Here is a 21,486-nt window from a genome sequence, read left to right on the forward strand (position 1 = left end):
AAGACGAGAATGAAGTTAGTGCCATCTCTTTTTCCAGATTAGATGACAGTAGTCGTAGCAGTGGCATTGCCCTAGTAGGAGCACTAGTGAACAAGGACCAAGGAAAAGCCAAAATTCAGCAAAGTTGTGGTCAGGTGACTGGACTTTGGCTGTAACTCTTTTTCCACCCAACTTGCATAACCTAATTCTGGAGCATATTATTCAATACCCTCCTGGGGAAATATTGTTAAATGTTATAAAAGAACTATTAGATAAGTAAGGCTCTTATTGAAAGCAGACTGGAAATTTTTTAGTCATTTACCTTAAAGGAATTTCAAATCTTCAGTTATGTATGATAATGTGAAAACAAGAGTAGTCCCAAAGTTTATTTTAAATATTACATTTCATTTATTTTGCTTTATTTATAAAAATTCCTAACGGTTATTGTAACAAAGGCTCCTTCTAAATAGAAAGGAAATACAAAACTAGGTCAGTCTAGAGCAATTACCTGGATTATGCATGACTCTTTACATTTTTCCTATCACATAATAAGCAGTTAGTAGGTGTTAGCTGAAGTCTTAAATTTTATCATGACGATTACAGATAAGATTTTCCTTAAAGGAACGGGGCAAAATAATCAAGAAAAATTTTTGCATTAAATTTAAATAGTACAGAACTTAGTAATGTGACTTCTAAAGGAATTTACTACCCCTTCGCCCACCCCCACAAACTGTCACAGACACGGCAACAAAACATTATTATTACAGGCGAGTTATTGAGACATGGACAAAGTTTTCAGTCCCAGTGTTTGTATGAGCCATTCGTGTATCTGTTGGAATGCTGCTACATGCTAGATGTCAGCACTGTCCAGAACAAATATGAATGAGGTGTCATTCCTGTCTTCTGTCTCAGTTTTCTTACCTGTAAAATTAAATAATATGTCTACCTCAAATAATATATTTTGAGAATTAAAAGATTATCTAAGTGCATTGTAAACTGAAAAGGACTTTTAAGAAACAGTAGTTTGAATCAAGAAGATGGACTAAGAGCCTATATCTGGTCCACCCACCCCTCCTTTTTAAAATCCCATGAAGTGACAGAAACAAGTTTTGAAAGATTCCTGAGAAAGAGGAAGTAGATGAAACCAAACCTCTGAAAAAAACAAAACCACACAAAACCCCATTCAAGAGAAGGGTGCTACAATGGTAGAGTGGCTTAGGGAAGATTTAACCCCCACATCAATGGCTATAAAGGATAGAAAGAAGCTCAGGGTGTTCTCATAACTGATTGAAGAACTGTCTCTGAAACAGCAAGGCTAGTCTGCTCTGCCTCCAACTCAGTAGTTCTGAGTGCAGGGTAATGGTGTTGGATCCCAGAGTAAAGCTGTAACAATGCGAGGCCAAACCTCGGGTAGTCCCACCCTCTGGAGGACCCAGGAGCCCCCAGAGACAAAGCGTACGTTACTAGCACATCCCACCTAATAGTATATTGTGTCCTTCTCCATAGCCACCAGAAGAAGCCTGTTTTAAATAAGGGGTAGCTTTTATACACAAGCAAACTGAGAACCTCAAAAGCAAAAACTAACACATATCTAAAATTTATAAAGCATTTAAGAAACATCATACTCAACAAACTGGAAAACTAACACCTTGAATAAACAGCTCACAGAATAGAAAATGATTATAAAATAAGTGACTAAATCTTAGATGGATAGGAAGACATAGCGTTCATAAAGTCCAAACCAGTTATAGAGTTGGGAATTTAGAAGTTAGTAGATGGCTAGCTGGGCGCCGTGGCTCACGCCTGTAATCCCAGCACTTTGGGAGGCCCAGGCAGGCACATCACGAGGTCAGGAGATTGAGACCATCCTGGCCAACATGGTGAAACCCTGTCTCTACTAAAAATACAAAAATTAGCTGGGCATGGTGGTGGCACGCGCCTATAGTCCCAGCTACTCCCAGCTACTCGGACGGCTGAGGCAGGAGAATTGCTTGAACCTGGGAGGCGGAGGTTGCAGTGAGCCAAGAGCGCGCCACTGCACTCCAGCCTGGAAACAGAGCGAGAGAGTGAGACTCCGTCTCAAAAAAAAAAAAAAAAAGAAGTAGCTAGTGAGATAGGAAGGAAACCAGGAAGTATAACATCCTGGGAGCAAAGTGAAGAAAGTATGTCAAGGAAGAGGTGTAGTAATCAGCCACATCAGGTAGTTACTGATTGGTCACATAACATGTGGATGAGCATTGACCATTGAATTTAGCAACTTGAAGTTCAGTGGTTGCCTTGATAAGGGATGAAAAGTTTAAGAGGAGTAATGGTGGTGATTGCGATGAAGTTGAAAGGCTAACTGGTATAATCCTAGAAACTAAAAGAGAGGAAATCATAGAGAGTGGGATATATGAAGTTGAAGATTGAAGTTATTGCTAATGGCAAGATCCTAGAGTGTGACGTGGAGGGATTGGCTAAAGGAGGTCAGGTCAGTGGACAAGAGGAGCCAGAAAGTTGAGAGGCCTGCGTATTTGAAGGATCATCCTCCCATATGCTGAAATCACCAGGACTCAGGACAATGATGCTGTTGGGAGATTGAAAGCTGGGTGTTTGTTCAGAAGAGTGAAGCATGATGGTCTGGAAGAGGCAGAGGTGTCTGTACCTTAGGGGAGGGAGGAGTTAGCCACAAAAAGAAAAATACTCTCCTTTCCTCTAGGCCCATTGTATTCAAGCCATTTTTGCATTGCCGTAAAGAAGTACCTGGGGCTGGGTAATTTGTAATGAAAAGAGGTTTAATTGGCTCACAGTTCTGCAGGCTGTACAGGGCCTCAGGGAGCTGTTACTCATGGCAGAAGGCCAAGTGAGAGTGGGAGCGGAGAAAGAACAGGGTGGTGCCACAGGCTTTTAAACAACCACATCTTGTGAACTGAGCAAGAACTCACTTATCACCGAGGGGATGTTGCTAAACCATTCATGAGGGATCTGCCCCCGATCCAGTCACCTCCCACCAGGCCCCACCTCCAACACGGGGGATTGCATTTCCACATGAGATTTGTAGGGGGACAGACATCCAAACCACATCACCCAGTGATATCTCGGCTGTGGAAGTTAAAGAAAAAAGTGGAGAGGGTTGCTGGGGAAGAATTGTCATTAGAGGTAAATCAAGTTTTCATTGAGCAAGAAACTTTCAAAGAAGAGATTGAGACTATATAAGGGATTTTTGCTAGTGATGGAGCATGAATTCCAGAGGGTGCAGTGACAGAATTGCAGGGGAGGGTAGGAGATGAGGACAGATGGGGGTATGCAGAATTTTAGGTGTGCTAAAGACAAAGAGCAACGTAGTGATTTAGAGCTTCCTGAGCTGACATAAATACAAGCAAAAGGCCTAATGAGATAGTTCCAGTGAATTTAAAGTAGAAATTGGTGGAGAGGCTCAAAGAGGTTGCAGGAGTAGAGGAAAGACAAATGTCAGGAGTTTCTTCTTAACCCCACTCATAGAGGTGGGATGACCTGGGGAAGGTCGACTTCATCCCACTTGAGTCCTTGCTCAGGGTTTGTGGTCTTCCTGTTGACCTCTGTAGATGTAGGGTAGAAGGCCTAAGTAGACATGAACTTGGTCTCAGTGCTATGATTTGTTCCTTGACACCTATCAGGAGAGGGACAGAGGGACATGCTGTCTCCTGATGTTAGGGGCTATTTCTTGACTCAAGTTGATGGAATTGATGTAAACCTCTGGGAAATCCAGGAATGATGCTGAGCACGCCGGCTTCCTTTGACCCGTTGTAACGGGGTGGGTCATGGAGAGAGGGTAGAGACATGGTCCTGGTGCCAGGAAGGGAAGCCCCCCTCTTGATCTGTTGAGAGAGGGGCCTCCCTGATCCCTTTGATGGAGTTGAGAAGTATTTGGCCTAATGTGTTTTCTTGCCTGTTATCAATATGAAAAGTTGTGTCCATAAATGAAGAGATTTTTAGTGTTTTTTCCCTTTGCCATATGTTGAGGTTTTAGTTTATCGCTGGGAAATAGGACATGTCTTTGGTTAATAGACATTTGAGGTACAAGAAACGAAATGCTGTGAAAGCAATTCAGATGGAACTGACAGGTATGAGAATGGGGCCCAGCTGCTCCCAGCTCCTCGGCTTGATGACAGTCTTGCAATAAATAATCAGAAACTGGGTGAAATGATAGCAAATGTCAGTTTTAAGTTTTCACTTGTCAAAACTAAGATTGTCTCATCACCAAACCATTGCTGGACCTAATCCTGCTACCTTTTATCTTCTTGTGCATTAAAAAACATTCTTTACCCTCATTTTTATTATGCTGAACTGTGTTATAGCACCTCACAGTAAATTTCCAGTCTATGCTCATGTTCATCACTGCTCCCTTCATTTAATAAAGGAGGTTTAGTTTGGTCAGAAAGGAGTTGTTAACTCTTCTGTTTATTAGTCACAGGACCTGTCATTTACAGTTCCAAGTTAAACAATTGGGAACTGTCTCAGTCAAGGAAATCCCTTTCAGTTTTATGGTGAGGTTACTCATTTATCTGTGCAACAGAGATAAAATTCTCAAGAACATCAAGGTTGTATTTGTCTGAGGAGCCATTATGATGTAACTTCTGACCCTTGGAAAGAAGACTGAGGTTCATTTAATTTAGCACTGAGTTTCCAAGAAGCATTTGCCAGTTTATTTTCAACAAAATGAGAAATTATGTTGACTACTGTGGAGCTAGATGCTGTGAAAGAGCCATGGAAGATGTTAGAGCTGCCAGGAGACCTGAGCGGCGTCTAGACCAGCCCCTGATTTGGCAGATGAACAGGAAGACTCCCACGTGGAAGCCACACTCCCAAGGTGGCACTGCAGGTAAAGGCCCAGGCCTTGACTGACAGCTGGCAGACATTTTTGTCAAAAGCTTTAATTGAGTCTCAATTTCAATTCTCAAGACAAGAGAAATATTCTATTAATACTTTAATAGCATTCTCATATTTAAAGCTATCATATCTTAAGCAGGAAAGCCGTGTTTTTTCTTTTGTTGTTAGTTTCTGCTGGTTTATTATCTTTTTGAATATGAAAATTGATCTGCTCTCTTTTCAGTTAGTCCCTCTTCTTCTCACCATAACTGTATATTATTCCGTGAGGGAAAATTAGGACTACAGAAAGGAAGCCAGAGAGAGACTAAGGCAGTCACAGATCACTATGATCATGTGGCAGCATGTTTCATGTGGGCCCGACTTCTGTTTCTGAGCATGAGGAAGGATCATTAAAGCCCTAGGGAGAGCAAACAAGAGAAGTTCTGGAAGAGCAAAGGCCATGTCAAAGTGGGAACCAATCACATAAGGTGTCCACCCGTGGTGAGCAAAAGCCACCTGTAGCATTTGTGTTCAGCACATAGCAGTGGTAGTGTTCTGAGCTTTGAGTGTAGGTGCTGCCACTTATAAGTTGAGTGACCCTGGGCAGATGGCTCAGCTTGGGCCTCAGCTGCCTCGTCTATAAAAGCATAGAGTTTTTTTAGATTAGGTGAGCTCATGCACATGAGAAGTTGTCAGTAGGGCAGTGGTGTAGCTCACAATAGTTGCATTCCTCTCACACTCGTTTTTCTTCTAAATTTTTTTAGGAATGCCAGCCCTTAATTTGAAGACCATTTTTTAAAACTCTGTGGCTACATGTACCTCTGTGGAAAAATTGCACATTGCTACTTGGTATATTAGGTCAGCTGTAGTAGTGACTATTCTGTAATGTGTTAAGCCAGCGGAGCTTAACACAGCCCATTTCAGAGAGCTTATTTTATACAGAGAGCTCAAATCATAACCTCCGTGTTACACCGTATTTAATTAGCTTGTAAGGATATGATTAAGCCAGGATAACAAGGTGGGGCCTATATTCTATGTGTGGAAGAAGTATTCTAAGGAATATTCCGGTCCAGGCATTTGTCTTTTTTTTTTTTTTCTGTGATGGAGTCTCGCTCTGTCGCCAGGCTGGAGTGCAGTGGCACAATCTCAGCTCACTGCAACGTCCGCCTCCTGGGTTCAAGCAGTTCCCCTGCCTCAGCATCCCAAGTAGCTGGGACTACAGACGTCACCACACCCAGCTAATTTTTATATACTTTTTTTTAGTAGAGACAGGGTTTCACCATGTTGGCCAGGATGGTCTCGATCTTCTGACCTCGTGATCCGCCCGCCTCAGCCTCCCAAAGTGCTGAGATTACAGGCATGAGCCACCGCGCCTGGCCTGGTCCAGGCATTTTTCATCAATACTTACTATATTTGATTGAACTGCTTGTTGACACCTAGATTTTCCAACCTGTTTCCTGCCTCTGCTTTGCATATTCTGTTTCTTCTGCCTGGAAGACCCTTGCTGCCATTGCCTCTGTCCATTCCTTCTCCACCTGTCTTCACCTTCACCCTCAGAACACTGTGCAAGCACTGCATGCTCCAAGCCATTCATGACACACTACACTAGAGTGATGGAGGTGCCCCTTCTCCGTATACCCACTTAACATATGTAACGTGAGGGTCTCCTCCAGGCCAAAAGAATGAGAACCAGGGCATGCTGTCGTGGGAAACCAACCTCACTCAGGGATACCAGCAAGGTTCTCTTTGGAAGTGGCATTTAGGTTAAGGGCTTGAGTTGGAAATAGCCTGGAGGACAGGAGAGAAGGGCCTTCTGGCAGAAAGAGTAGCAAATATAAAAACTCATGCCCACATGTTTGAGATAAAAAGGAACATAGCTCCATTGCTTACACTTTTCTCATAGGAATGGCCATGCTGTGCCGTAGTCATTAAATGTGATGATTAGTCTCTGGTGTCATTTTCCTGAGAAAGAAAACGTGGGGGAAAAACTCCGTGTGGTTGTGACCACAAGTCTGGCCTGTGTAGTCACAGAGATTCAGTTATACTGTTCTCCATGCAATTTAGCCTGGCTTCTTAGCTCTTCTGGTCTGCAGTATCCTTATCTGTCAAATGGGTATGGCAGTTTTACTATCCGAGGCCGGGGGTGATGTGGGATCTCAGCGGCTGGTGTTCAGTAGACATTCACAGCAAGCATCTGTGCTCCTCAAACTGTGACTTCCTGAGGTGTTAAACATCTGAGCTGGATCATTTTCCATTTTGATTAGAAACCTCTTGATTGTATGAAATTGGAAGAATGGGGATGTTTATTTCCATGACAGTCTAAGATAACAAATTCAGGATGGTGGTTTCCCTACAAAATGGAGTGGGAAAGAGGAAAGCCTGAGAGGGTACATGGAAACTCTTTCTCAAATACTCAGAATGGTTATGGCTGAGTAATCTAGACTTTTCACAAGTCTATTCCTGTAAAAAATTATTCCTAGTTCAAATACATTGTATATATGTAGGCTGTTTTGCATCATCTGCAAAATGGCAGTGAGAACTCTTCCCTCTTGCTGTCAGTGATGGCTCTTTCCTCGTGCTCTCTCAAGGATGTTGTACATTGGAACGTGGATTTGCCTGTACTTTGAAAAGATCCTTGGCCTCATGTAACCAGACTTGTGACTGGACTGCAGAGATCCATTTCCCTGCTCTCCTGTCCCATGTGGCCATGGCTGCTGAGTCCTCTTTTCCCAGCAGCTTCCGGATGGTGATGCAACAGTGCCGGTCAAAGAAAACATTTCATCTGGGCATTTGTTTTTAATGTACTATAAAGTACAGCACCCACAATTCATGCAGCACCGGGTTCTCTGGTAGACGAGGGTGTAAGAAGAAATAAAGTCTTTGCCTTCTGTAAACATCCCATCTATTGGAAAGGAGGTGTTTACCTCCTCCCCCACTCCCACAGTGCCTTGCACAGGCCCAGCCCTAGCTCTTGGCACACTGGGCTAGAATTGTCCACACACATCCTCCCTCTCCGCAGACTCCCAGTCTTCCCAGGTCAGGTGCTGTCTTTGTATTCCCTCGTGCACTTTTAGGCACTTACTGTGTGTTGCGTGGCCAATTGTTGTGGTTAAAATGTCGAAACATATTTATTATGTATTAAAATTAGGGAGCTAGACAAGGGTCCTTTGATAATCCCAAAGTTGACACTTCTGCTTTAGAACTCTGTGATCTCGGTGGGAATTTCTTTGAATTTTCAGTCTTGCCCTTCATTAGTTGTCTTTAAGTTTTACAATACGTTATTGAATACTGTTGAAACTCACAGCCAGATGATTTTGTCCTTTGTTTTGTTTTGATCACTTGCAGTGGTGCTGATTACTATGATTACGGACATGGACTCAGTGAGGAGACTTATGATTCCTACGGTGAGTGACTGGCCAGAGCATGTGAAGAGAGGGAGGAGAGATGGCCGTAGAAAGACCTTAAAGATATTAATGGGAAGAGAATAAGGACATTTGGACTCTGAAACAGCAGCTTCCTGTCAATTCATTTGTGCATGTCTAGCTATTTTTAGGGCTCCTTTATTATATAAATATTTGAAGAGGACTAAAGACTTGCTGAAGATTGCATGAATCCAGATTCTGAACTTAAATTTTATGTTTGAGTTGGTCGCCGTGTGCTGATTTTCTCACAGAGTAGTTTTTCAAACTTCAGACACTTGATAGCTGGGTCTTTTTGAAGTGTCTTTGTTTCCTGACAGTGAAGGGAAATGAAGCAATTGAGACTACAGCTCTAAAGTGATTCTCCCACCTTCATCTTTATGTTTTAATTCATTTCCAATCTCAAACCCTCTGAAAAAAATTACACTGGGAGTCATTTCATAAAGGTTACAAAAGCACTGAGCCAAGGAGGAGATACAGGGTCTGTAAGCTTTACAAAGGGCAGCAGCTAAACCCCTCTTAATTCAGTGGAGCTGGTAGAGATGCTGGGGACTTCATGTCCAAAGTCTCACTATGCAGAACGATGACAGGTTTAATAATTAAAAGAATTGGCGGCAGCAACATAATGGTAGTAAGAAGAGCCCTTGCCGCAGGGCAAGGAGATCAGAGAACATGAAGCTTCAATCAGTTGCAAAGCTCTGATGAATCCCTGGTACCCGGTGCAAGTATATCAGGATTGTGGTTAATGGATGTTAGGACATTTCTCTTAACAGAACGGAAAAACCATTTTCCGGCGTTAAACCTTTTGAAGTGCATTTTGTTGTATCACCTGCCTGAAGCTGTGATGGCTGCACCTTGGATTTTTTTTTTTTTTTTTTTTTTTTTTTTTTGTTATCCGTAACAAACACTTAAGAGAAATATGTTGGTTTGCTGAATGCAGGCTACCTAAATTGATGCAAGTTAGCTTGAGGGAGTGACGTTGATTGCATGTTTTGTATCAAAAGAAGAGGTCATTTTAAGCATTTTTCCTTCACAGCTTTTTAAATTGGTCTCTGTGGACACATGGCTTTTAAATTGCTGTATGTTGCAGCAGGGATGTTAACTGTTTGATGTCCAAGACTTATAGATAACTCATTAAAAGTTATCTTCAGGCTGAACAGGTGTTTAATTTCAGGAGATAAAGATGATAGAATGTCCCTGGTTATTAATACCTTTGTTCAGTACGGATTTAGCATTATGATGAATGAAATCTGACATTATGTCGTTAAATTCATTTCATATTCATGAAGTGCTATTGAGAAGTGAAGTTCAACCCAATGCAACTTTCCTTCAGTCTTTCCGTGAAAGCGCCTGTGAAAAATGAGGTCATATTTCCCTTTCTCAGTCTGCCCCTTCCCGTTTTGCTCTCCGGTTTTCTTCTTTGTCTTCACAGATGTTTACCTATGTTTTTTCTTTGTTTTTGCTGTTGGAAGACATCTAAGTGATCCTTTTCCCATTCTCTTTTTCACTCATAAATGTCCTGATGTTTAGCAAAAGGCAGTTCTCTTTGCTACTTGAGCTTGTAAACTGTTGTTAAATGAGTAACCAAAAGGAAAGTCCTTGCGAAGTTGGTTACCATTTCAGATACAAGAACCGTTTATCTTCCCACGCTGACGAATTTTGCGAGTGAGATGATTATTTTTCCTTGTGTTTGTAATTTATTTAAGTAAATTCCTTGTTTGTTTTTCTTTTCAGTACACCAGGGGTATATATTTTCAATATGACATGTACCTTTGGTTCAGGGCTAAGTTAGAGTCTGAAAAATGAAGCCTGTGGGATTCATGGCAGTGATCTAATTGTGATTCATCTTACTGATTGTAGGGCAAGAAGAGTGGACTAACTCAAGACACAAGGCACCTTCAGCGAGGACAGCAAAGGGCGTCTACAGAGACCAGCCATATGGCAGATACTGATTGTACTGTCTGATGTTGTGAAATAGCCAATCTCCACCAGTCCTGTATACTGTTCAAAGTAATTTTTTTCTATGAACAATCCCTTTTTAAATAAATCAGAATGCTTAAAATCTGAATGGATGGAACTTAAAACTACTTTGTTGAAACATCAACCTGGGCAGAAAAAAAAAAAAAAAGACATGTAAAATTTTGTTATTTCCAGTCTGTATATGAAAAAATAGGTCATCAAAAGGAAAAAAAATAACTTTGATTAACTAGTGTTAAACAAAAAATAGGTTTACTAAATATGTTAATCTATTCTTTTAACATAAGCCTCACCTTTCATTTTAAAGGTTTCCATAGAATTTAGTTATTTTATCTTTCAGCCATATGCTAGTTTTTTTTTCTCTTGCCAACATGCGTAAAAAGGGAAGCCAATTACAAGTGCAAATAATGTGGTATTCTTTTGTAACTCAAGTCTTGAAATGTTCTGTAGTGTTAAGCAAAGTCTCCTCTTGCTTGATACTAAATAAACTTTTGAAAGAAATTTTGTGTGTGTGAGCTAACAATTTCATGGGTTTTTTTTTATTTAAAAAGGCCTTCATAAATAGTTGTAAACAGGGAAAGAATTCATTTAACAATGCTTGTCATAAAAGGGTCACACTAAACATTGTACAACTTATTTTAAAAATGGTATAAAATTAAATGTACCATTATATACTCACCATAGATTTAAATGCTGTTTAAAGAGTCCAAATGGTATCGAGCTGCTTGAGTGGCACGTTAAACTACGCAAAACCAAATCTTGTTTAAAAACTGGTTTTAAAATAACTACTGGATTTTCTGAAAAAGATGTGATCAGTTTTCATCTTGTTGAGCGTTTTTTCACTAGTGCAACTTTGGATTTTTTATGAGAATTTTGGTACCTTAATGAACACCTCGCTCCATGCTGGAAGCACTAAGCACAAAGCTTTTAAAGACTTTCTGGCTTGACTAATTGAGGTCGCACTCGCCAAGGCTGAGGATGTGTAACCCTTAAACGGTCTTCATTTTCAAAGGTAAATAAATCAAATAAGATTTTAATCTCACTTAATTTATCTTAATATAACTAATAAAACCAGGAAGATTACAACTTAGCAAGTTTCATTATCCATTTTAGAAAAGTTTTAAGATCACCTAAATTCTCATTTTAAAAAGTTTAATTTGTTTTAGTAATCTAAAAAGCCTTAGTTTAGTCAGTTTAATTGGGGCCAATTACTCCCTATTAAACAACTGTAAAACCTCATAACTAGTTATTTGTAATACATTATTTGGTTAGTAATTGAGGGCACTTCTTAAAACTGACAAATATTTAATAAAGTTTATTCTTTAATCATTAAGCTTTTTTAATTGTAGATTGTGTAAAATGTTTAATTTTTATTTCTTGGGGGATTTTTTTCTGTTTATGTTGAGTAAAAAGGTCTTTTCTTTTGTTAGGAAATGTCAGCCATCTTGGAATGTCACAGGAACTGGTTGAACACCTGAAGCAAACAAAGGTAAGTTTGCCTTTTTGTTCCAATTATCCTGACCTGTGTGGAAGATGAAGACAATTTCACACTTATCTGAAGTCACATGGAAAATTTCCCCTGCTGGTTTCCTAGTACAACACTAGTGATTGTGTCAGATTAACTCCAAAGGTCAGAAAAGAAGCTTCCTGAATGTAAACAGGTCAGACCCAGGAAGCTTCATTATAAGCGGCAGAGATTGGAGGCTCAGGTCATCCTGATATTTAAATATTCAGATTACTTTCTTCAGAAAATATCTAGCAGTCTAGTCAATAGCATGAAAAAAAAAATTCCAGATTATTCAGTAAAAAGAGCAGTTTGCCAAATTTAATATATAATATCCCAATTTTAGTTTTCTATGTGCGTGCATAGGCAAAAAAATTACACAGATATGCTGGAAATTTTTGACAGTATTTATCTTAGTCTTATGGAAACATGGTTTTCTGTGCTTCTGAATTTTATGAAACAAATGATAAGTATTATAAAATGTATTTTATAAAAATTACTTCATAAAATGTAAAAATCTGGGGACCTATAAAGGAAAAGTATTATTATTTTTGTCTCTCTTTTTACATTTTCTTGATTTTTTTTCTAAAGCATCAAAAAATACTACTTAGGCCCTGATCTTCCAGAGAGTCTTACTTTTTCAGTGTTTGTATTTGAGCTCTGCCACTTAGCAGTGTGACTTTGGGCAAGTCTCACTTTCTCCATCAGTTCAGTGAAAATGATGCTTATCCCATGCAGTTGTTAGAAGAATTAAGATAATATCATCAGAGTGTTTTGTAACCTGAAAGTGATACAATCATGTAAAGTTTAATTGTCAAAGTTGTATTCACATATTTAATATATATGAAAAATATGTGAGCTTGGTTTTTTCCCTAATAGCCAAAATTAGCCTGAAATAATTAAATTGCTTTTAGAAAGAAAATAATTCTCATCATTTTTGTAGACCAAACTAAGTTTATTGTATTTTCTGTTTGTTTGTCTGTTTGGATTTTTGTTGTTGTTCGTTTTTCTCTTGTACGGAATGGGAATGTGACGTCCACCACATCTCTGTAGTGTGTGATGTTATTGAAATTTTTCACAATTTTTTTCTTTATTAAATAATTTTTTTAAGGAGTTGGCATACAGAATAATAAGAATTATGGAGAGGTAGAGGGTCAATCCTCAGGTGCTATTCAGAGTTAATTAACAGGAAATACTGTACAATTTTATGTTTATTGTCATTTTTTCAAAGCTTCCATAGCTTTATCAGACTGTAAAAGGAATTGTGACCCAGAAAGGCCCAGATCACTATCCGACAGGAACTTTCCTACTTGGCCTTTGAGATCTTCTCTTATCTGGCTGATGCTCCACCAGACCTGATTTTTTTCTATTTCCATGGGAAGACCCTGCTATAGATAAGCCAGTCTTCTCACGTCTCTAAGAGCACATTTCATTGTTCCCAAATCGCTTCCCCCTAACCTTTGTTTTCACCCCCTTGGAATTCATTTATTTTCTCATATGGCAGCATATATGGAACATGAGCTCCATACTGGACACAACAGAGGCACTGGTCATACAAAGACTGATAAGACATGGAACCCGGTATTCAAATACCGCAAAACCGAATGGAGGTGACAGCCCCATGACACACAACTTTGCTATTGCCTGTATCTTTGCATGAAGAAACCATACCCGTCCTTCAGAACTCAGCCCCATGCCCTCTCTTCCATGATGTCCTCACCAGTTAAATCAGGCTGTGATCCTCCACCCTCTCTAAAGAGCATGCTTGGTTTATATTTCCTCATTTTAGTATTGGTATCATATGACACATATTGGTTGTAAGTTGCCATAAAAGCCAAGCATGTGCTTATCACTTTCTGTAGATTATTTTATTGAATCCTCACAGCCATAAGAAGGTATCATCTACATTTTTAAAAAGGAAGAAATTTAAGCTTCAGGAGGTGAATTTCACACTTATGTTGCTCATGTACCTTATAACTGGTAGAGCCCGGATTTGAACCGATTGACTTCAATCCAGAGTCTTTGATCTTAACCATGTTGTTATACTGTCATTCTTTATATTACAGTGGCTCCTCCCTTAGATTAAAGGCTCTTTAAGAGCAGAAGCCTTTAATTTGTGTTACCTTGTATCCCAGAGAGTATCTCACACAACACTGAGCATTGTGATAACTGCCCCCTTCTCTTTCTCTACCCCGCCCCTGCACCAGATTCCTTCATGGAGAGAGTCTTTCACTTGTTTAGGTTCTGAATCTTCTTATACTCAGGTATTCCAAGTCAAGTCAGTATCATTATTTACTCAGATATATTTCCTGAACACCTGCTGTGTTGCAGATGGTAGGAAGACAGTGATTAAAGACATCATTGTTGTCCTTGCAAGTGCCACAGTCTACTGGGGAAATGGGCAAAGACCACGTCTGTAAAGCTCTGACAGAGATACATGTGCTTTCTAGGCACATGGAAGGGAGATGTGTAACCCAGGCAAGTTGGTCAGAGGTAGCAGAAGGGGCCCATGGAGATATTAAGACCAATAGAAGATAACCACACAGGGCAGGTACTCTCAGAGCATCCATACTTCCGCTCTGCCCTTCACCCGCTTTGTGACCTTGAGTCAGTAAGTTAACCTCTCTAAACAAGAGTCTAAACTGCAGGTTCCCCACTTATAAAATAGACATAGTCTATATATATATTTATATATATATATGATATATAAAATATCATAGTCATGATACCTTAGTATTGCTGTGAAGATTAGAAGCATGCCTGGGACAAATAAAGGTGTTCACTCATTGGTTGCTATATGTAAATATTTGCAATTATAAGAAAACATGATCATTGAGGAAACTTCAGGTATATTAGATAATTAGAGAAAGTAAGAGACCATGCTGGCTGGGTAGGACAAGGGACATGTAATGAAGGGTCTTGTAGGTTCTGCTAAGAAGCTCAAATTCAGTGCAACCATTTTCAAGTGTAGTATCCTCTTTGCCTTTAAGCTTGGCCTACTCCATTCCCTTGGGCAGATATAGTGCCTCATTTAGTCTGTGTTCCAAAAAGAACTCTACAAGCTTCTGTTTCCACTGGTTAGTGATTTTACAGTGCCTTAAAAAATAGTTGCTCTCACTTTTTCATCCTCTTGTCCCCATCTCTTCACATAGTTATTTGACAGTGTAAGGGTTTAGTAAGTGAATGGTATTGTCACTGTGAGCAAGATGATTCCTAACAGGCAGTGTTAGGAACGGTTAGCCCAGACCCCAAAAAACCCACACAGTCATGTTAACGATACTATAATTTAGATAGTCTAGCTCCCTTGTTTAACTCAAAATGAAAGACTCTGGTCACTGTATACAGAGACAGGTTCCAGAATGTAAAACTAATGATTTGAAGAAAAAATAAAATTGTAGAGTCAAAAGTTAAATGAAAATATGAGACATTTTATAGAATATGTGACAAATTTAAGGAATAAAGTTTATTTTCTGTGCAAACAATATCTACTATTTATATTGATATTCAGTGTTTTGTAGGGACAGAAAGGAAAAAATCCATCATTATTTTAAAATAACAGTCTATTTTATGCCTGATTCTGTTTCTATTTCTGATTGGGAAAGGCTACAGATCATTTTTCAATCTGAATTTCACCCTCCCTTATCGATGGAAAATCCCGTCCAGTTGAAGTTGATTCTGACTGACATTCCTGTTTCAAAAATCTCAGTAATGTATTTCAGTGATTAGCATCCATTGCTGAAATCATTTTTCAGATCTTAATGTGATGAGTCCTTCGGTGACTTTCAGGATAATGCTCAGCCTCCTTGGCTCTGAACCTCAAGCCGTGTGTGATTCTGCTGCTGGCCTGCCCAGCCGCCTGGAGCACAGCATGCTCTGACCCCAGCCCACTGTGGTCCAGCCCTGATAGATTGAAAACCATCTAGAGCTTTTCTATCAGTGCCATTCTCTGCCTGAAGTAACAGTTCCGTACCCCACTCAAATAAATGCACACAAATGAATGAACACAACTCTTACCCAGCTCTTGGTCTAGCTAGCTGTTGCTGGCCTATCCAGACTTCCCAGTGGAGCTTGAAGCATCCCCTCACCCTGGAGGCCCTCCCTAGCCTGCCATCTTCGCAGCTCTACTATGGACCCTCATCTTGCTCTATGAATTCTGCAATACAGCATCCTGAGATTGGCTGTTTACCCTCCTTTCCTCCCACCAGATTGTAAATATCTTTAGGGCAATTACCATGCCTTATGCCTAGTAAGTGGTAAATGAACAAGTCGTTGGATGTATGAGTGAATAAAGTGGATGTGGTAGCTCAGTGGCTGATAGTACAGGACAATGTACTAGGTCTTGTTTGGCCTTATTCGATTAAATTAGTCATCCTTTCATTTGAGGAGAACTTACCAGGTTATTAAGTTCTGTCCTGTGTGTTTATCTCATTTGAACTGCTGCTGGCGGGATTTGTGTGTCTGCTGCCTAACACAGGTCCTAGTACCTAACAGACAGTCAAAACAAGGAGATAGAATAAACAAACAGGTACCATTGTGAAGTGTGCGGGGATGGTGGTGTTATCCTGAGGCTAGATTTCTGTTCTGCTTGTTGGTGGGTTTTTCTCCCTGACTGCAAGACTTGAAGTTCCTTAAAGATAGAAGAACCATGTCTTATTGGACTTGTACTTCCAAATCCTAGCACACTGCCTGGCACATAGACATAGTGGGAACTGACAGGGTGTTCAGTGAGGAACGAATGAGTGAACAAATGAACCTGTAATTCTTGAAACACTGACACTGAGCACTTTTCAGTACAGACAGTCCCTACTACAATAGTTTGACTTAGAACATTTCCCCTTTACAGTGGTGGAAATGTAGTACATGTTCAGTAGAAACTGTACTTCAGATTTTGAATATGTATCTTTTCTGCAGCTAGCCATAGTGGTATGATACTCTTGCCATGCCAGGCAATGGCAGTGAGCCATTTTGTTTTTCACTTTGAGTACAGCATTCAAAAATTACTTGAGATATCAAACTTTATTATAAAATAGGCCTTGTGTTCGATGATTCAGCCCAACCGTATGCTAATGTAAGTGTTTTGAGTATGTTTAAGGTAGGCTAAGCTAAGCTATGATGTTTGGTAGGTTAAGTGTATTGCATACATTTCCAACTTAATGTTTTTGACTTACAGTGGGTTTATGAGGACATAACCCCATCCTAAGATGAGGAGCATTTGTATTAATTTGTTTTCTTAGTGGAAGTGTGATATTTCTCTAACCATTAGATTTTTTTCAATGATAAATGCGAAGTTGGAAAACCAAAATATGCCCTTTATTTAGTCAGTAATACATGTGCTTGGTACAAAATATATACACACAATGGTGTTAATTCCCACCTTTACCCCCACACACCCACAGGTAACTATTTGTATTGATTTTCATGTATCTTTCCAGAGATAGTCTGTGCATAAGTAAAGCATTTTTTTAAATTATCACTATTTTTTACATAGAAAACAATATACCATTTTCTCCCCTTGTTTCACTTTGAAGTATGTCTTAGAGCTCATTTTCTGTTATTTTATACTAGAAAGCTACCTTTTTCTTTTTATTGGCTGAATATTTATATGAAAGAGCCATAATCCAAACAACTACTGACAGAGATGTAGTTAGTTTCTAATATTTTGCTCACATTAAAGGCAATGCAAGAAGCCATGTTTATAAACATCTGTGGAATGAATTTTTAAAGTAGACCTACTGGGCTTTTATAGATGTTTCCCATAGAGGTCATGGTGCATCTTCATATGCTTTTGTAAAAGAAACCTATCTAAATGCTACATGTATTCATTATGATCTATAAGATTAGCTCCTGTGGCCACACCAGAAACTCATCTGCTCAAAAGTTGGTTTAAAATGGTCTTTTATACACAGCATGGCGTCTGGCATGTGGCAGGCTGGTTACCCTGTGTGATTTAGCGAAGAGATGCAGGGCGTGCTGGGTCCAGTAAGGACACCTCCTGGACACTCGTCTGTGTCTTATGGGGAGAGCTGAAAGTCCTGCGACCCTTCCTCAGACTCCTGCTGGTCTCCTCACATTCCTGGAGCTTATTTACATCAGCAAGTGTATTGTTAAGGGCTGGCCCGTGGTGGGGCAGGCTTTGTGGAAAGTAAGGTGGCCACACCAGGGTAGCAGGAGAGGCCGACAGGCTCTCTGAGGAAACAGACAGGATCTCCTCTAGCACTCCCCTGCACGGGCTCATTGCCCACCCTCTCTTCTTCTCTGGTTATCCAGATCCTCCCATTTCTTCAAGATCTTTTATCTCTCTCAGCCAAAAGAGCCTTCTCTTCTCTCCGCATGAGAATCCTGGCTGAGAGGACTGGATTGGCAGATGTCTCATTCTGACCTGCCGGTTGATGGGATGGTGCTGTGTAAATGTCCTTCATCCCTTGTATGCTCCTTGAGGGTCACAGGTGTGTCTGTCACATTTTATAAACCTGAAAGCATTCAGCACAAGCCATTCAAGAAATATTTATTGGTTAATTAAGGCAATGCCCTCATCAATAGATTTACTGTATTAGATGTTTAACTTTTTAGAGGATTCACCTTTAAATAACAGTTTGCATCTGATTCATCCTAGCAGTACTGATGCTTTATGCAGGTGACACTGAGACGCCCACCGTGTCCCTGGCACTCTGCAGCAATAAAAGGCTAGAGAAGGGCAGGGATGGTGCAGAGGAGAAAGGGATGAACTTGCTCCGAGGACAAAGGAAGAAATAAAACCTGAATGGAGTTTTGAAAGTCGAAATCTTGCAAGCCAGGAAGGGAGGAGAAAATGTGAAGACATAATAAGCTAATACAGGTGGGAGAGGAGGGTGTCAACCAAGACATGAAATGGCGTCATGTGTTTTAGGAACGTATAAGCAGCTGCTGGAATATAACATGCTGGGAGAGAAATGAAAGAGATGCATCTGGAGACAGAGGAAGGGGCTGGGTCCTATGGAGCCATCGGCGATGTCCTGAGTTGTTTTGAGCACACTTTGTGGTATCAAACACTTACCTAGGGCCTGGGACTTGTATGACCAGAGTCGTGAGAAGTCAACATCACCACAATGGCCATTTCTCTGCTGCGATTGGGTTTTTTGTTTGTTTGTTTGTTTGTTTTTCTGATCACCAGCCAGTTTTTTAAATAACAGAGTTTTGTTTCGTATGACACATCAAAATAGGTTCTTTGGGGTTAGGTAATACAATTTAAAATATATCTGAAAGTTCAGTCTCTTATCAGGTGACAAGAATGCAAGGACTCTGCCAGGGTGGACCCCTAGGAACTCATAGGTTAATATTTGAGGTTTTATGTAAAACAAGGCATTGCCATGCTGAAATCACTCCATGAATATCATAATGGATAGTAGTGTAATCATCATTAAACCAGTTAATCATTTGTCTGTCTTTATTGAACACAAATATTTTATGTCCTTAATTTTAACGATTCTGTTTTGCATTGTTTTCCATAAACGTCCTTATTTCTATTAAGTGTCCACTTGCCTGAATCCTCTAAACCCTGCCATTCCCAACAGAGCATATGGTTATTATTAATTTCTTGATATATACAAATATATTTCATTTTCCTCTCTTTCAGGAACTTTCCTTCTATTTATGCACTGCTTAAGAACCGTCAACTCACCAACGTGCCTAGTCAGCAAATGAATCCACTTGGGAACTTGAAAAACATCTTAATTAATTTTTGTTTGCATAATTTTGTGTTCTGTGACATGTTTTTATTATATGGTATGCTTTTAATTTGGAGAACCTACTTTTTTAAAAAACGGAAAGAAAATCTATCTTATTTTGTTGACTCCCAATAACAAAAAGAGAATGATTTGTATAGTAGTTAATAAAGGCTGCCTATTGAAATCTCTTCTACTTTAAACCTAGAAAAACAAAGTCTTGTTATTTCAGCACAGCTCTAAATTGTATACACTTGAAAACCATGTACAGCTGCAACTCACTGCAAGAAGTCAAGATTCTACACATATTCCACATTTGAAAATGATTTATCCATCTCAGTTATGGACTAATAAATATGAAAGTATTATGCAAAAAGTATTCTGTCACATAAAAGGTTAATTATAAAGGCTTCTGCGGGAAGCAGAGTGGCACTGTCAGAATAGAAACATGATTTTCATGCCTCAGTGTAATTTGTTATGGAACATAAAGGTCATAATCCCTGTGGACAGTATTATTCTCTTCATTCTCTTTTCATCATTTACTAGTGCATTGTGATTTTAATTCAATATGCCCCGGGAGGATGTGTTGTATTTCTTCTGTTAGAAGCTCACACAACATGTTCCCTGGACTTGGAATTTTAAGAACTGTCTTGCACATTGTTAAATTGTTGCTTTCTTGCCTCAAAGACACATTTTTTTGAGGCATTCACTTTTTACAGCATGCCATGTTTGGAGCATTGTGTTAACGACAGAATGACTTCAAATAGCTTAGCTTTTTCTTATCCTCGTATGCATCCTAAAACATAATTCTTTTGTACCTTTTAGATGTGTCCAGTACACATTTCTCTCTCAGAAACGCGTAGAATACAAGCCTGTGTGTTAGAGCGGTGGCTCTCTGCGGCGAGTCGGGTGCGAGAGTGAAGGGTAAATGTCTGTCATGAGGGCGAGCTCAGGAGAGCTACGGACAGCTAGGAAGCAGCTTCAGGCACCCTTTGGTTCAGAATTAATTTTAAACAAATAGGAACTTTAGAATATAAGTCAGACTATGGTAAATTGAAAAGAATTTGAACTTTTTTTTTGCTTGCTTCCTTTTTACCTGCTGAGTCTCTAATACAATTCACAAATCTACAAGTAAAATCCCATGGATTCAAACCTTCTGACTTAACTTCCATCTGTCCCCTTCTCCTTGATCCCACTCCTACAACCTAATTTTGGCTTCTTACTTTACTGCCTACATTATTTAATTCATTAAGCACATTATTGAGAACTTAACTGCTGGGTACCGTCTAACATACTAGAGAGAGAGCGGAGAAAAAAAACAGAGGCGGTCTTACCCTGGAGAAGCTTAGATCCCCCTGGGAGGAACAGGCCAAACACCATGAGAATGTCAGGTGCTGACGGAGCCATGGAGAAAATTAGACCATGGTAACAGGAAGAAGTGCTAGACTTTAGTTTGAGTAGGCGAGGTAACATTTTAGCAGGGGCCATAAAAAGTAAAGAACTAAGCTACATTAAGAGACTAGCAAGTGCAGAGGTCCTGAGGTGGGAGCATGCTTGGGTACTTGAGGACCGGCAGCAAGGATGCCAGAGCAGAAGTAATGGAGTGAGCAAGGGACAAAGAATTAAATGAAATCAGTGGGCTGGTTGGGGGCCAGAGAATAAAGTGCCAGTGTTGAGCTTTAATGGGAGCTGATGGGCAGATGGGAGGAGGAGTTGACAAGCACAGGAGTAGTGTGATGCAATGTGCATTTTAACAGAACCACTCTGGCAGTGTCTGAGAATAGCCTATGGGGCAAGGTGGAGAGACCCACTGGAGGCCACTGCTATGAAGGTAAGAAGGAATGCTAGCATAGTCCGGGGTGGTAGGGTGTAAGCACTGAGAACTGGCCAGACTTCATGTGTATTTTGAAAAAGTAAAGCCAGTAAGACTTAGTGCACAGATTGGTTGTGAGATACAGAAATTAAGTTGGATGATCCAAAGATTTGGGTCCAGAGGCACTGGAAAACTAGAATTGCCTCTTTCTGAGATGGGGACATTTTAGGAGGACAAGGTGATTATGTTAAGTTTTGAGATACAGAT

General features: G+C 39.9%; 1 protein-coding gene across 14 annotated transcripts in view; it reads left to right on the forward strand.

The window, feature by feature from the left end:
- The window catches only part of KHDRBS3 (KH RNA binding domain containing, signal transduction associated 3), a 199,061-nt gene extending 179,452 nt beyond the window's left edge, over positions 1 to 19,609 (forward strand). For 5 of the 14 annotated variants that reach the window (XM_047421269.1, NM_006558.3, XM_047421268.1 and 2 more), the window contains 2 exons: positions 8,152 to 8,210; positions 10,086 to 10,703. In XM_047421269.1, coding sequence (XP_047277225.1) covers positions 8,152 to 8,210; positions 10,086 to 10,177 — 151 coding nt within the window. In that variant the 3' untranslated portion in view covers positions 10,178 to 10,703. Of the gene's footprint in view, positions 1 to 8,151; positions 8,211 to 10,085; positions 10,704 to 11,632; positions 11,692 to 13,004; positions 13,018 to 19,318 lie in introns of those variants that run through there. The other 9 variants (XR_242372.3, XR_001745457.2, XR_001745456.1 and 6 more) reach the window with 4 other exon arrangements.
- The last annotated feature ends 1,877 nt before the right edge of the window (positions 19,610 to 21,486 follow it).

This window comes from Homo sapiens, chromosome 8 (assembly GCF_000001405.40).
Source record: "Homo sapiens chromosome 8, GRCh38.p14 Primary Assembly".
Classification (NCBI taxonomy): Eukaryota; Metazoa; Chordata; class Mammalia; order Primates; family Hominidae; genus Homo; species Homo sapiens.